Source organism: Homo sapiens, chromosome 8 (genome assembly GCF_000001405.40).
Source record: "Homo sapiens chromosome 8, GRCh38.p14 Primary Assembly".
NCBI classification, from domain to species: domain Eukaryota; kingdom Metazoa; phylum Chordata; class Mammalia; order Primates; family Hominidae; genus Homo; species Homo sapiens.
Genome location: NC_000008.11, coordinates 728650 through 741027, shown reverse-complemented (window position 1 = coordinate 741027; position 12378 = coordinate 728650). Strand labels below are relative to the sequence as shown.

General features: G+C 54.1%; 2 protein-coding genes and 2 long non-coding RNA genes across 33 annotated transcripts in view, besides 1 other annotated feature; 2 read left to right on the top strand and 2 right to left on the bottom strand.

Moving 5' to 3' along the window:
- DLGAP2 (DLG associated protein 2) overlaps window positions 1–3400 on the bottom strand; it is a 970849-nt gene extending 967449 nt beyond the window's left edge. For both annotated transcript variants that reach the window (NR_073397.2, NM_001346810.2), the window contains exon 1: window positions 3203–3400. Coding sequence is in view for 1 of the 2 variants with exons in the window: in NM_001346810.2 (NP_001333739.1) it covers window positions 3203–3220 (18 nt within the window). In the remaining variant the exon portion in view is untranslated. The remainder of the gene's footprint in view (window positions 1–3202) is intronic.
- Window positions 654–2480, bottom strand: LOC401442 (uncharacterized). Its single transcript, NR_134292.1, has one exon. It is a non-coding gene; the product is annotated as an uncharacterized LOC401442 (long non-coding RNA).
- On the top strand, window positions 3998–4994 carry LOC124902044 (uncharacterized). The gene is made up of 2 exons (XR_007061156.1): window positions 3998–4171; window positions 4811–4994. It is a non-coding gene; the product is annotated as an uncharacterized LOC124902044 (long non-coding RNA).
- The window catches only part of ERICH1 (glutamate rich 1), a 116479-nt gene continuing 113904 nt past the window's right edge, over window positions 9804–12378 (top strand). For all 29 annotated transcript variants that reach the window (XR_007060715.1, XR_007060714.1, XR_007060710.1 and 26 more), the window contains exon 1: window positions 9804–9888. Coding sequence is in view for 17 of the 29 variants with exons in the window: in XM_047421403.1 (XP_047277359.1) it covers window positions 9867–9888 (22 nt within the window). In the remaining 12 variants the exon portion in view is untranslated. The remainder of the gene's footprint in view (window positions 9889–12378) is intronic.
- Window positions 11817–12321: an enhancer, noted in NCBI's record as "H3K4me1 hESC enhancer chr8:678707-679211 (GRCh37/hg19 assembly coordinates)". NCBI's record gives its function as "activates a minimal SCP1, AML or CMV promoter by ChIP-STARR-seq in naive H9 embryonic stem cells {active_cell/tissue: H9 hESC(naive)}" and the evidence as "EXISTENCE:reporter gene assay evidence [ECO:0000049][PMID:30033119]".

Below are 12378 nucleotides of genomic sequence, written 5' to 3'. Positions count from 1 at the left end.
CTGCATAGAAAGTGTGCCTACTAACTTCCTGTATGGCAGCCTGTAATTCTTTTATAACCAACATGATGGCAATGCTCTAAATATGACTCCCATCTGGCCAAAATGATGAATCATAGTTATTTTTATTGTATCCAATGAATGACCATGGAGCATCCATCCTGAGGGTCAATAAATAGAATATTTAATCAACTTCATTTTAAAATCTATAATCAAAGTATACATCATTCAACTCCTTGGATAACTGAGGAGTCATGAAGCTTTTCCTCAAATACAGTTATATAATAAAAAAATTATAGCATTTCTTCAATTTCAACATTATGGAAGATGATATCTTCAAAATAAAACAAAACAAAATCCTCTCACCCTTAAAAAGATATTAGAGCACTTTAGTTTCAGAATTAGTTGGGTTCTGGGTACACAGAATCCAATGTAATTTAAATTCCACGAAGCCTATTTTTGCTTTTAATATTTAATTTGGAATTTCTACCAATTTCAAAACTGAAATAAGTAGACACAAATAAGAGAAGCAATAGATTGCCACAGAAGGGCATGTATGTCACTGGGGAGAAATAATGTCATGTGATCTGAATTCTACAAAACTAAAAATCGAATTAACCCATTTAAATCACAAGTAACAAAAGGCATACAAAAAGTTGGTAAATAAATACATGTTTATTTCTGTCTCAAGCTGTACCACTTTGGACAATCATAAGTGCAAAGTTCTTTCGAAGAATAACAAATAGACATTGAATACTATGAAAAGTTGACTTAGAATGCTTATCTGAGAAAACATCTTCGTGCTGAGAAAGCTTTACTTTTAATTACTTCGTTCCTTTGAATTATTTGACGTAGTACTCATTTTGCTTACAACTCTTACCCTTTAACCTGAAATTATAATATACAGATTTGACGCGGTAGATCAACAGAGGAAGCCATTCTGTGCCTCTCCACTGCTTACCCAAGAACACGGGCGATCACCAAGGAGTGACAGTGAAGGGGCAGGAATGGCGCACAGAGGCAGGATGCGTCCCAGGTCATCACTGAGAGCAGATCCCACGCGCCCGAGCTGCCGCGGTGAAGATGCCTCAGGTGACCCGAGACAGAACCGAGGACAGGGCCGGCTCTGTGTCACCTCGGTCCCTCCACGGCCTCCCCGCCCAGATGTGCTTGGACAGAGTATTGCCTACAGCCTGCTCCACATGCTGCCAGATGTAGGGGATAAAATATTCTAATGTGTTCTCTTCCAAGCAATGAAAAAGTCACACCATCCAGAAGGAAATGGTACGCACACTCTACAATTACTATTGGAGCCAAATCTGTGAGTCACCCAGCTGCCGGCACAAGACAATTTGGCTACTGGAAAATCCTGATTAATGACATTTTTTTAAACCCAGAGTAACAACTTGACCTGCCAAGAATTACCATTTTTTCATCATTTCGCCATTTTTGGCCTTGGTTATCTATTACCTTTCTCAGAGAAAAGGAAGTAAAATGAAAATGGTGTAAGGTGCGTTCACCTCAGGCCAAAATGCGCCTTCCAAGGTGCGCTGGGGCCGGGGTTTAGCGCAGCTTCGCGACCCGGGGGAAGGCTCCTTGGAGAGCCTCCTGGACTCCCTCGGGCTACGCCGAGGTACCGGGTTATTTCCCAACTGCAAGGACAATTAATTCACGGGCTGTTGATGAGATTCCTCCTGACAGGGCGGATTGTCGGGCTCCGCCAGGCTCTGGGACCGGGTCTCTGTCCGCCGCGCCCCAGGCCCGACCTCTCCGGGGGGTACCCCCCTTCGCGTCGCCGGAGCTGCCTCCAGCCTCGAGTCCGGGAAGACGGGAGAAGCGGCGGCGCTTTGGAGAATATTTACAGTTCCCAAACCCCCCACAGCCCGGGCTGGCCGAGTTCATCCACACGAAGGATAAATTCACTGCTGATCGCTTTATCTTTAATCGATAGAAGACCGGGGCCGCCGACAAGTCACGAATTTCCAATTCCAGGCCGTGGCCGGGATCGCCATTCACCGGCGGCGGCGGCGGCGGCGTCGCGCAGGGGCTGGAAGGACCCGGGCTCCAAGCGCGCAGGGCCGGGACCGGGGGCCGCGAGTTTCCGACGCGCATCGCAGACCCGCCGCGCACCCTCGCCCCCGCGTCCGCTCTCCACCTGCGAACCTACGCTGTCCGGGGGCTCCGCCTTCTCGCCGGCGCCCACCTCGCCCAGCTATCTCTCCTCCAGGCCCCTCCCCGGGTTCCCAGGTCCAGCCTGCTCCGAAGCCTCGGGCACCGCACACGCCGCGCGCTGAGGGAGGGCCGGGCGGGGAGAGGCGTCCAGTCCAGCCCAGCCCAGCCCAGCCCAGCCCAGCCCCACCTGGGCGCGCAGGCAGAGGAGCCCGCGTCCGCCGCCCCCCAGCCCTCCGCGCAGGGCTGTAATAATTACATCCTCATTATTTCTCCTGCAATCGTTAGCGAAGGAGCCGGAGACAGCAACAGCCGCTGCCGGGGGAGGCTTAGTTACAAAACCCTGCGCTGGGTAGCGCCTCGCTTAGCAACCACCCCTAAAAAAGACCCCGAGCTCCTCGCTCGCACTTGGAGAGCCGGGCGGCGGCCACCCCCTCGCTGCGCGCACCCTCCACTCCGCCTGGTCTCGGCAGCCGCTGCTGCCCGGCACAAGGGCCCCATCCTGGTCGCCCCCGCCCCCGCGAGCCCCCGTGCGCGCAGCCCAGCCCGGCACCCTTCATTCATTCCCAGTCCCCGTCGGCGTTTCCACCCGGGCTTGGGGGGAGGGGGATGCAGTCTGCTGCCCGCCGCCCCCACTCGCTCGCAGCTGCCCCACCGGAGCTAGGCGCGTAGCCCCTGGCGCGCCGGCACCCCCCAGGCTTTGCCCCCTCCACCCCGGGCAGGCAGAGCGGAGAATTTCACACCTCCGCGGCCCCGTGCGCTCCCGCACCCCCGGAGCCCAGGGTCCCGGCACCCCCGAGCGCGGCCAGGGATGCGCGGAGCCCGGCGAGGAGCGCAACGCGCGACCCCCGAGCACAGGCTGTCCCTGGGGTCCCCAGCGCTCCGGCCCCGGCGGGCGGCACGACCCCCGCTCGCCCCCGCCCCCAACCCTGACGCCCTCGGGGCGTCCCCGCGGGTCCGACACACCGCGCCCTCCCCGCCTCGACGGCTCTCGGAGCCCCGCGCCCGGCTCCCGGCAGCCCCCGGCGGCTCGCACCTTCCTCAGCGCGGACATCCTCGGACGCTCCGGGCTCAGCAGGTGCGGGGCGACATGGCGAAGCGGCCCCTCCTCAGACCGACGGCTCCCGGGGCTCGCGGGTTGGGGTCAGTACGTCCGTCCGCGGTCCGTCCGTCCGTTCGCCGCCGCAGGCGCCGCGCGCTCAGACCGCGCTCGAGCCCGGCGCACGGTCGGTCTTCACGGCCGGCGCCTGCGCACTCGGCGCCCAGGGAGGCACCGGCGCACTGGGGGGCGGCCGGCGCGCGGCTGCATCTGGGGAAGGGCCCGGCTTGGGGAGCGCGCGGGCAGCCCGGCTCCAACTGTTGCGCGGGGCGCGCGGGTCACCCGGGGACTGTGCCGGGCTCCCGGCGGGAAAGCAGCGGCCTCCACCGCGGCGCGCGCAGGCGACGCTCACCGCGCCCGAAAGTTAGCGGGGGACCCGGTCACACCCGTCGCCCCCGGGCAGGGTCAGCCTTTCTGGACCGCTGTTAGAGACGCGCCGGCGCGTTTGTGCGCGGGACTCGCGCTCGGGTTCGAGTCGGCTCGGCGCCCAGGGGGGCTCGCGGGGCAGAGGGGACGCGGGGCGAGGGAGGCGCGGGCGCTTGCGAGGGTCTCACTGCGAGGTGCGGCCGCCGCTTGGGTGCTGGAGGCAGAACCTCCCCCGGTTTCCACTGGCGGGCTACGCTGAGGAAGGTGTGCGGCGGCGGCTTCGCGGGGACCCACCGGGGGGCGCCCCGAGAACCTGGGTCCGGACGCAAGGAGCGCCCTCGGAGGGGGCCCGCCGCCTGGGTTTGCTGTGAGTGGCGTATGGACGACAGAGCCGAGGAAAAGGGAAAATCGATCCGGAGAAGTGGTGTTGACAACCACAGCAGCCGGGAAGATCAGCCACCCTGGCCACGTGTGGACGGACCCTCGCCAGGATCATGGGTTTTCCCTTCCGGGATCGGAACGCGGGAGCTAGACGCGCTGGTATGGGGATCCCTGGGCGGTCACCGACCCTGGGCAAGTCTCTCAGCCCCAGTTTAACATAAACGCAGAAATGGATTTCTGCTTTCCACCTGCATGGCTACGGCATTTAAATGAGGTAAAAGATGCGAAAACAAACCGCATAGAAAGACGGATGGGAGTTAGAATGAAATCAGGTCATCCAAAATATTTGGAATGGACAAACCAATCTTTTCCAGAAATTCCAAGATCTTTAAACAAAAAACAGGCTCTGTAAGAATTCCCCGTATAATTGATCACCAAAATATTCATCAGTTGCAGTTTATTTTCAAGGCAGAGTGCTAAACGACGAGGGGGTAGAAAGGTGAATGGGAGAAAGAAGTCCGGCCGCTGTCCATTTCTTCTAAATGTTTCCCGAATCTATCAGTGGTCTCCACTGTCAAAAAAAAAAAAAAAAAAGGTGCATTCAGCGCCCAAACCTCAACTAGGGAGAGATTCCAGGCCAATTTATTTTCATTTCACAATTTACTTTCCCTTTGCTTTCCTCCCCTGCATTTCGTCCCCATCCCTTCACGTTTTTTAAAAATATATATATATATTATTTCATGCAACCGCAACAAGAAAATCACACAAATGTACTGACGGCCTCTCCTGTGTTCTCAGCGTGTGAGCAGCACAGAAAACCACGGTTGCCGCCCCATGAAGCCTTCAGTCTAGAGAGGGATCCGCCCAGAAGTTACCCAAGGAACAGACAATTACAAGTTATAATTCTCTGAAGGAAACATATGGAGTGTTATTGGTGAATGTGAAAAGGGCAACAAATACAGTTTGTGACATCAGAAAAGAACTTTTTGAGGACGTCGTTATTAAATCTCCCCCTGGGTTCTCCCACAAGCAGGTTTTGAGGTGTGGATTTGGGTGCAGGTAGTTCATTTGGGAGATCGATCCCAGGAAACTAGAGAGAGGAAGTAGGGAGAGAGAGGCAGGGCAGGAGAGGACGTCCCAGAGGCTGCGGTGACGCTGGGCTGCTCCTGTGGCCACCGGGGCCCCGTCCTGCTGGGGTGCTCTAACAGGAGCAGCTTGGAGTGCACGTCAGCTTAGGAAGGCTGGACAGCTTTTCAGCTTCTAGGTCCCAGTGACTGAGGGCTGCTCCTCACCCACACACCCCACTCCCCAAGTTGAGCACCTCCCAAAGCTTCAAAGAAAGTCCAGAGGCCAACCAGCAGGGGAGTGCACGGGGACCTGAGAGCACATTGAGGGTGGCATCAGAGGTGGCCTCTGCCATGGCCCTGGGAACAGGATTTAGGGAGATAAGAGCAGGCCTGAAGACCTTGGGAGATAGAAGGACTTGATGCCTTTTTTTTTTTTTTTTTGACGGAGTCTCACTCTGTCACTAGGCTGGAGTGCAGTGGCACTATCTCAGGTCACTGAAACCTCTGACTCCCTGGTTCAAGCGATTCTCCTGCCTCAACCTCCCGAGTAGCTGGATTACAGGTGCACACCACCATGCCCTGCTATTATTATTATTATTATTATTATTATTATTATTATCATTATTATTATTATTATTTGTATTTGTATTTTTAGTAGAGGCGGGGTTTCACCATGTTGGCCAGGATGGTCTCGATCTCCTGACCTCGTGATCCACCCGCCTCGGCCTCGCAAAGTGCTGGGAGTACAGGCGTGAGCCACTGTACCTGGCCTTTTTTCTTTTCTAAGACAGGGTCTCACTCCTGTTGTCCAGGCTTGAGTACAGTGGTGCTGTCACGGCTCACTGCAGCCTCAACTTCCCTGACTCAGGTGATTCTCCCACCTCAGCTTTCTGAGTAGCTGAGACTACAGGTATGTGCCACCATGCCTGGCTAACTTTTTGTATTTTTAGTAGACACAGGGGCTTGTTATGTTGCCCAGACTAATCTCCAACTCCCATGCTCAAGCGATCCTCCTGCCTCCGCCTCCCAAAGTGCTAAGATGACAGGCATGAGCCACCATGCCTGGCCACATTTTCGTTTAACTGAACAGTCAGAATAACTGCAACTGAGGGAGAAAAGGACCACATGATTGTGACGGGAGAAAAACTCAGGGGTCTTTCAGGACATTTTAAGGGCTTTGATTTGTATCCTCTATACAATGAATTATGATGTAGGATTTTGAGCAAGGCAGAGATTTTCTTCATAGACAATCCTGTCATTTGCAGAGAAAACTTCTATTTCTCCCTTCCCAATCTGTATACCTTGTATTTCCTTTTCTTGTCTCATTGCATTGGCCAGGAATTGCAGTGTAACAGTGAGATGCAGTGGCAAGAGGGGGGGGCCTTGCCTTCTTCCTGATCTTAGTGGGAAAGGCTTCTAGTTTCTCACCATTTAGTATGCTGTTAGCTCTAGGGTTTTTGTAGGTGTCCCTTATCAAACTGAAGAAGTTACCCTCTAATCATAGTTGGCTGAGGGTGTTTCGGTTTTAAATCATGAATGGGTGTTGGATTTTGTCAAATGCTTTGTCTGCATCTAATGATGTGATTGTGTGGTTTTTCTTCCCTATCCTGTTGCTGGATGGTCCACCTTCAGTGATTTTTGAATGGCAGTGAGGTTTTAAAATGACCATTTTGGCTGCTATAAGAAGAAATGTCGGTAGGATGGGAGTGAGGAACAAGAGTGGAATTGAGATCATTTTAAAAATGCTCGGAGAAATCCTGGGATTTCAGAGATCAACTTAAAAAAGGCTGGAGAAATCCTAGTGACAAATGATGAAAACACAAACTCAGCAGTGGAAGTAAGACACGTTGCAAGTAGAATGCGCTTGATGTGATTTTTCTGGATGGGTTATTCAGGAAGAGAGGAAGAGGAGAGTCACCAATGACCCCCAAGTTTGGCCCAGCAATTGGATGACACTTCTGGGAGGCCTTAGTGTGTTACATGCTTACTGAGAACTGTGTGTTGGAGCTGGGGACATGGATGCCTTGGGGACTTTGTCAGGAGCAGGTGCAGTGGAGGGGTGGAGAGAAAAGCTGGACGGGGTCACAGAGTCCATGGAAGACGTCAAAGTGGAGACGGGCTTTGTAATCAACTCTTTCCGCCAGTTTGAGTGTGGGAGAGATTGAAGAAACAGGGCTGGAGAAAAATACATTATTTCCTGGGAGGATTTTGTTATGGGGGCGTCCACAGTGGGCTTGAGTGCTGGTGAGAATGATGAAGTGGAGAACAAGTTCAAGATGCAGCCTCATTACAGGGATTATTTCCCCTCCTGCATCACTCATTTTCAACAGTAATTTGATCAGGTCAAATTATCTCTCTCTCTCTCTCTCTCTCTCTCTCTCTCTCTCTCTCTCTCTCTGTCTGTGTGTGTGTGTGTATGTGTTCTGTCTTCAAAAACCCTCCAGTTATTGCCCCATTTGCATGGTCCCGCCAGAGAATGGTGTACAGTCAATGTCTAACTTTTCCTCGAAATTCTATGAATTTCCATCAAGTTTCTGCTTCTACCACTTCAACAAAATTCCTGTAACCAAGATCCCTGATGGCCTCTGCCCTTTACAAATGCAACCGTACATCACTGGTCCTCCTCTTGCTTCATCCACATCATTGGAGACCAGTGGTTCGTTCTTTGACTTGGCTTCAGGACCTTCCTTTTCTCCCTGGCCACCCTTCATGTACCACAGCTTGGGCCCCCTCATCTCCCCACCTCTCAAAGGCCAGAGCCCCTCGGGGCTTATTCCTTGGACCACTTTCTAAAGTTCACGCCTGCTCCCTTCATGACCTCATATGCTTACTCATCTTATGAGCACCTCAAACTTGACCTGTCTAAAACTGCACACTACCACCAAACGAAGATCCCCAGAAGGCTCTCCACCTCCTCAGTGCAACTCCAGCCTTCCAGTTTCCAAACGAAAAATTTACAGCCATTCTACATTTCTCCTTTTCTGTCACAGCCCAGTTTGATCAATCGGAAAATCTCTTTGGCTTTACCTTAAAACATGTCCACAATCCAACTAGCCCCCCCACCCAGAACCTCCAGTGCCACCACTTGGATGTGAGCTGTCAGCATCTCTTATTGCAGCAGATGAAATCTCCACACTTCCTTCCATGCAACTCTAGTCATCACAACGCTAAATGACTTCTTTAAAATGTACATCAGGCCATGCACAGTGGCTCATGCATGTAATCCCACACATTGGGAGGCTGAGGTGGGAGGATTGCTGGAGGCCAGGAGCTGGAGGCTGTAGTGAGCTGTGATGGCACCACTGCACTCCAGCCTGGGCCAGAGTGAGACCCTGTCTACCCCAAAAAGAAAGAAAATGCATCAGATCATTTCACCCCTTTGCTCTACATCGTGTAACAACTTTCCACCCTGCTTCTTGGAACATGCAAAGTTATCAGGCTCCCTGCAGACCCTGCCTGGGTCTGGGTCTCCTTTCCTCCTGATCTGAGCTCCCCTTATCCTGCCCTTGCTTCTGGTCCCCAAACTCAAACAGGGCAGCCGTTCTCCTGGGACATCGTTTCCCTCCTGTGGGCTCTCTTTCCCTGGGCACCCCCAGTCTTGCTCCCTCACCTACCTCAAGCCCGCGCCCATCACTCTACAGTTAGGCCCTACCAGCTTCATTTTCCTCCAAAACACCCATCTCCGTGGGTTCCTCTCCTGAGACAGCCCACATGAGGAACAGCGCCTGGCACACACCTGGGAAATGTTTTGGAAGAAACGAATTCAAGGAGGAGGGTCCTGAGGGGGTGGAGCGGGAGGGCAGAGGCCCTTGGAGCTGGACAGGGAGACAAGAAGGGGTCTGGCAAGCCGGGGTGACGTGGGGGCCGCTGCCCTGACCACTCCCTGTGTCCCACAGGTGCCTGGGGGCCAGGGACACCGCCCTGGCCATGCCCTGTGTCCAGCAGGTGCCTGGGGGTTGGGGTCACCGCCCTGGCCACTCATGTGTCCAGCAGGTGTCTGGGGACCGGCTGGCCATTCCCTGTATCCTGTAGGTGCCTGGGGGCCAGGGACACCGCCCTGGCCATTCCTTGTATCCTGCAGGTGCCTGGGGGCCGGGGACACCGCCCTGCCCACTCCTTGTATCCAGCAGGTGCCTAGGGGCTAGGGGTCACCGCCCTGGCCACTCCCTATATCCTCCAGGTGCCTGGGGGCTGGGGTCACAGCCAGGGCCACTATCCGTGTCTCGCAGGTGCCCGGGGACCGGGGACACCGCCCTAGCCACTCCCTGTATCCTGCAGGTGCCTTGGGGCCGGGGGCACTGCCCTGGCCATTCCCTGTGTCCGGCGGGTGCCTGGGGGCGAAGCGGGGACTGGGGATCCGCAGGTGCACCCGTGGGGTTGGGGGTGGGCGCCTCTCCTCTGGGGCCCTCCGTTCCCCTCTTCTCCACAACGCCCTCCCTAGCGTTCGCCCCCAGAGTTCCGCCACCGCGTAGAGCAGTCGCCGCCAGCGCTCTCACAGCGTCCTCAGGTCCCCAAGAGCCCGCACCGCCGCCCCCGCAGCCCTCCCTCCGCGCATGCTCCACAGCGGGGCTCCCAGAGGCGGGTCTGGAGCCTCGCGACACGCCTACAGACTCGATATCAGCCAATCTACGGCCGTGATGTAGTTGACTGACCGCCCGTGGCGGGGTCCCGTATTCGGATTGGGCATTCCTGCTGTTGTGGGCGGACCCAGGAGGGCGGAACCCGGAAGGCACGGCGCTCAGCTCAGGACCGCGCGCCGTGGTCTGAGGTCCGCGGCAGGGTCCCGCATGGCGGCGCACAGGAAGCACGGTAGGTGGGTGCGGTGCGGAGGCCTGCCCAGACCCCAGACCCGGCTCTCGGCTCAGACCGCGGTGTTGACTCGGGACCCCGACCCCGGCCCCTTTCCAGGCCCCACCCCAAACCCAGACCGACTCCCCACCTCCACCCCAGTCCCTACCCATCCCCCGCTCTTACCCCGGACCGCGGCCCACCCCTCGCCCGTGTTGTTGCTTGCATGGCTGCTGGTCGGGCCGGCCCTGCCAGGCCCCACCTGGTGTCTGGGGTCCTGGGCGGAGGCGAGCCCAGCCAGGGATTCGTGTTCTTAGCAGAGCCCCTGTTGGTGAGTGAGTAGGAGCCGCTCAGCTCTTCAGAGGGGTCCTAGCCCAGGGCTCCGGGGTGGGGCTGCAGCCGGCTCCGGCAGCCTCACCGAAAAGTACAGCAGAACCTCCCAGAGCCACTGTGTCCTCATCTGAGAGACGGAGGTCATGGTGTTTACCTTCAGTGGACCTAAGGTGTGGGGCGCATCCTAGTGCTTATTAAATTCTGTGATAGCATTAGTACCAAAGACAGGAGGAGAATAAATAGAATTGGTTAACCTGGCCGTGCCTTAGAACGGAAGTGTTAGAAAATAAAGCGTGCTCCTGCTTCCTGCAAACCCCAGCTCATTACCCTCACCGTGTAATCATCATCATAATGAAAAGAGTGGCGGTTTTTGACATGAATCTCGTGTTACTTGGATTAATTCAGGCGCTGATGAATTTTTTTCCTTCTCTATGTTTAAAACTGATAATCATGTTTTTCCCTTTGAAATGAAAAGATAATGGCAAACTATAGTTATAAAACAATTGCTTAAAAAGAAAAAATTTCTCAGTGAGGCAGAATGTGGAGAAAAATATGGTCTCAAGTCTTCCTTTTCAGGGACACACTGCACGTGGGCTTCCCCCTCTCCTTCAGGACCAGGGAATTGTCACCTGATCAGCTCACAGGTTAAAAATGACCTAAGAGTTTTTAAGCAGTCACATGCTAGGCTCTAAAATGGACATTCACGTATGTTAATGAGCACCAGAAATACCTTGTTCATGACCCTCTCCTGGAAGCAGGGCTGGCAGGCTGTGAATTCAGTGTCGAGGTTCTTAGGAGCAGACCTGACGGTCAGCTGCCTGCAAAGCTGTGCCTGCCTTCTTGGTGGGGGGCTTCTTGCTACTGCAGGTTTTCTCCTTGTTTTAAACCACAACACACTCTTCTCTTACATTCCTTCAAATGTTTGCACTCTTCTAAGCCTGGAATAAATGCTCTTCTCTATGCAAGAAATTATTATAGCATCTGTAATGTACCTAATCAACTTAAAAAAAAAACCTTTCTCCATTCACCAAATTAAAGTGAATGAAAGCTGTTAATTGTTTTAGTCATTCACTAATCACCTTCCCTCGAAACAGCCTTTTTTTCCTATTGGATATGTGACAGAATGGTCAAGTAAATTTACGTTGTTTAAGGACATTGTGGTTGGAAGGATAGATTAATAAATCCCAAAAGTTTATAAAATGTAGGTGGGAAAGAAAATATTAGTTTTCTGTGTGTCTTCCTCAAGATCACCTGAAGAGCCCATCGGCTGAGTGGCACTTAGGCTCTGAGAGGCACTGAAGGGAGGATTTAGCTGGAATAAAACTTCCCAGCATTTGTGACCTGATGGAGCAGGAAACTGGAGTGTGTGTCTTCTTCAGAGCATTTCCCTTCTGCGTGGCTTGCAACGAGTGAAGTTAGGGGAAGGTGCCGCAGGAGGAGGGGATGGAGCTTGGCGTGTCCCCTTGCAGGGATGTCTGTTTTCCCAAGGTCCAGCTCAGGGTCATGGGGTGGTTGCAGGTGGGGGTTGGGCGCTGTTGTTGATGGTGGGAGAGGAGGCAGGTGCCACAAGACGCAGGTGTGCCTCTCCTGGAGCAGACCCCACACAGAACTGACTTGGCGTCGTTTATTCACCGCCGGATGTTGGCGGAGCATCTGCTGAGTGTGGCAGAGCCCCTCAGGCCCTGGCTGCGGCAGCGAATCAGGCACGGTATCCCTCCCTCCCCGAGCTAAGTGAAGCTCTGCTGTGCTTTGAGGCTGTGCTTGGGTTTAGGGCAGTGCTTGCTGACAGAGGACACATCCAGGGGCCCATACTCTCCCCTGCCTGGCCCTGGCACAGACCAAGAAACATGAGGTGGAAAGGTTGGCAGTCAGGCTAAACAGTGATTCTAAGCATTTTTTTTTTCCTGGAAGTAGATTGTTTCTGCTAGGCAATATAATCTGCTAATGTGACAGTTTCCCTGTAACAATGTGTAGCAAAACTCTGCAGGATTAATGAGAAGAATGTATTGCCTTTGAAGCAGCACCACTTGAGTAAAAATTCCTCAAATGTGCTCTATGTTATGCTAGTGTAAGTATAGCACCGGAGGATATTTCTTGGGCCTACTTTGCAAGCCTCTGAGAGGTGCTGTGCAGCTCCGACCATGAACTGCTCTCCTAATTGAAGAGGGTCCCAGGAAG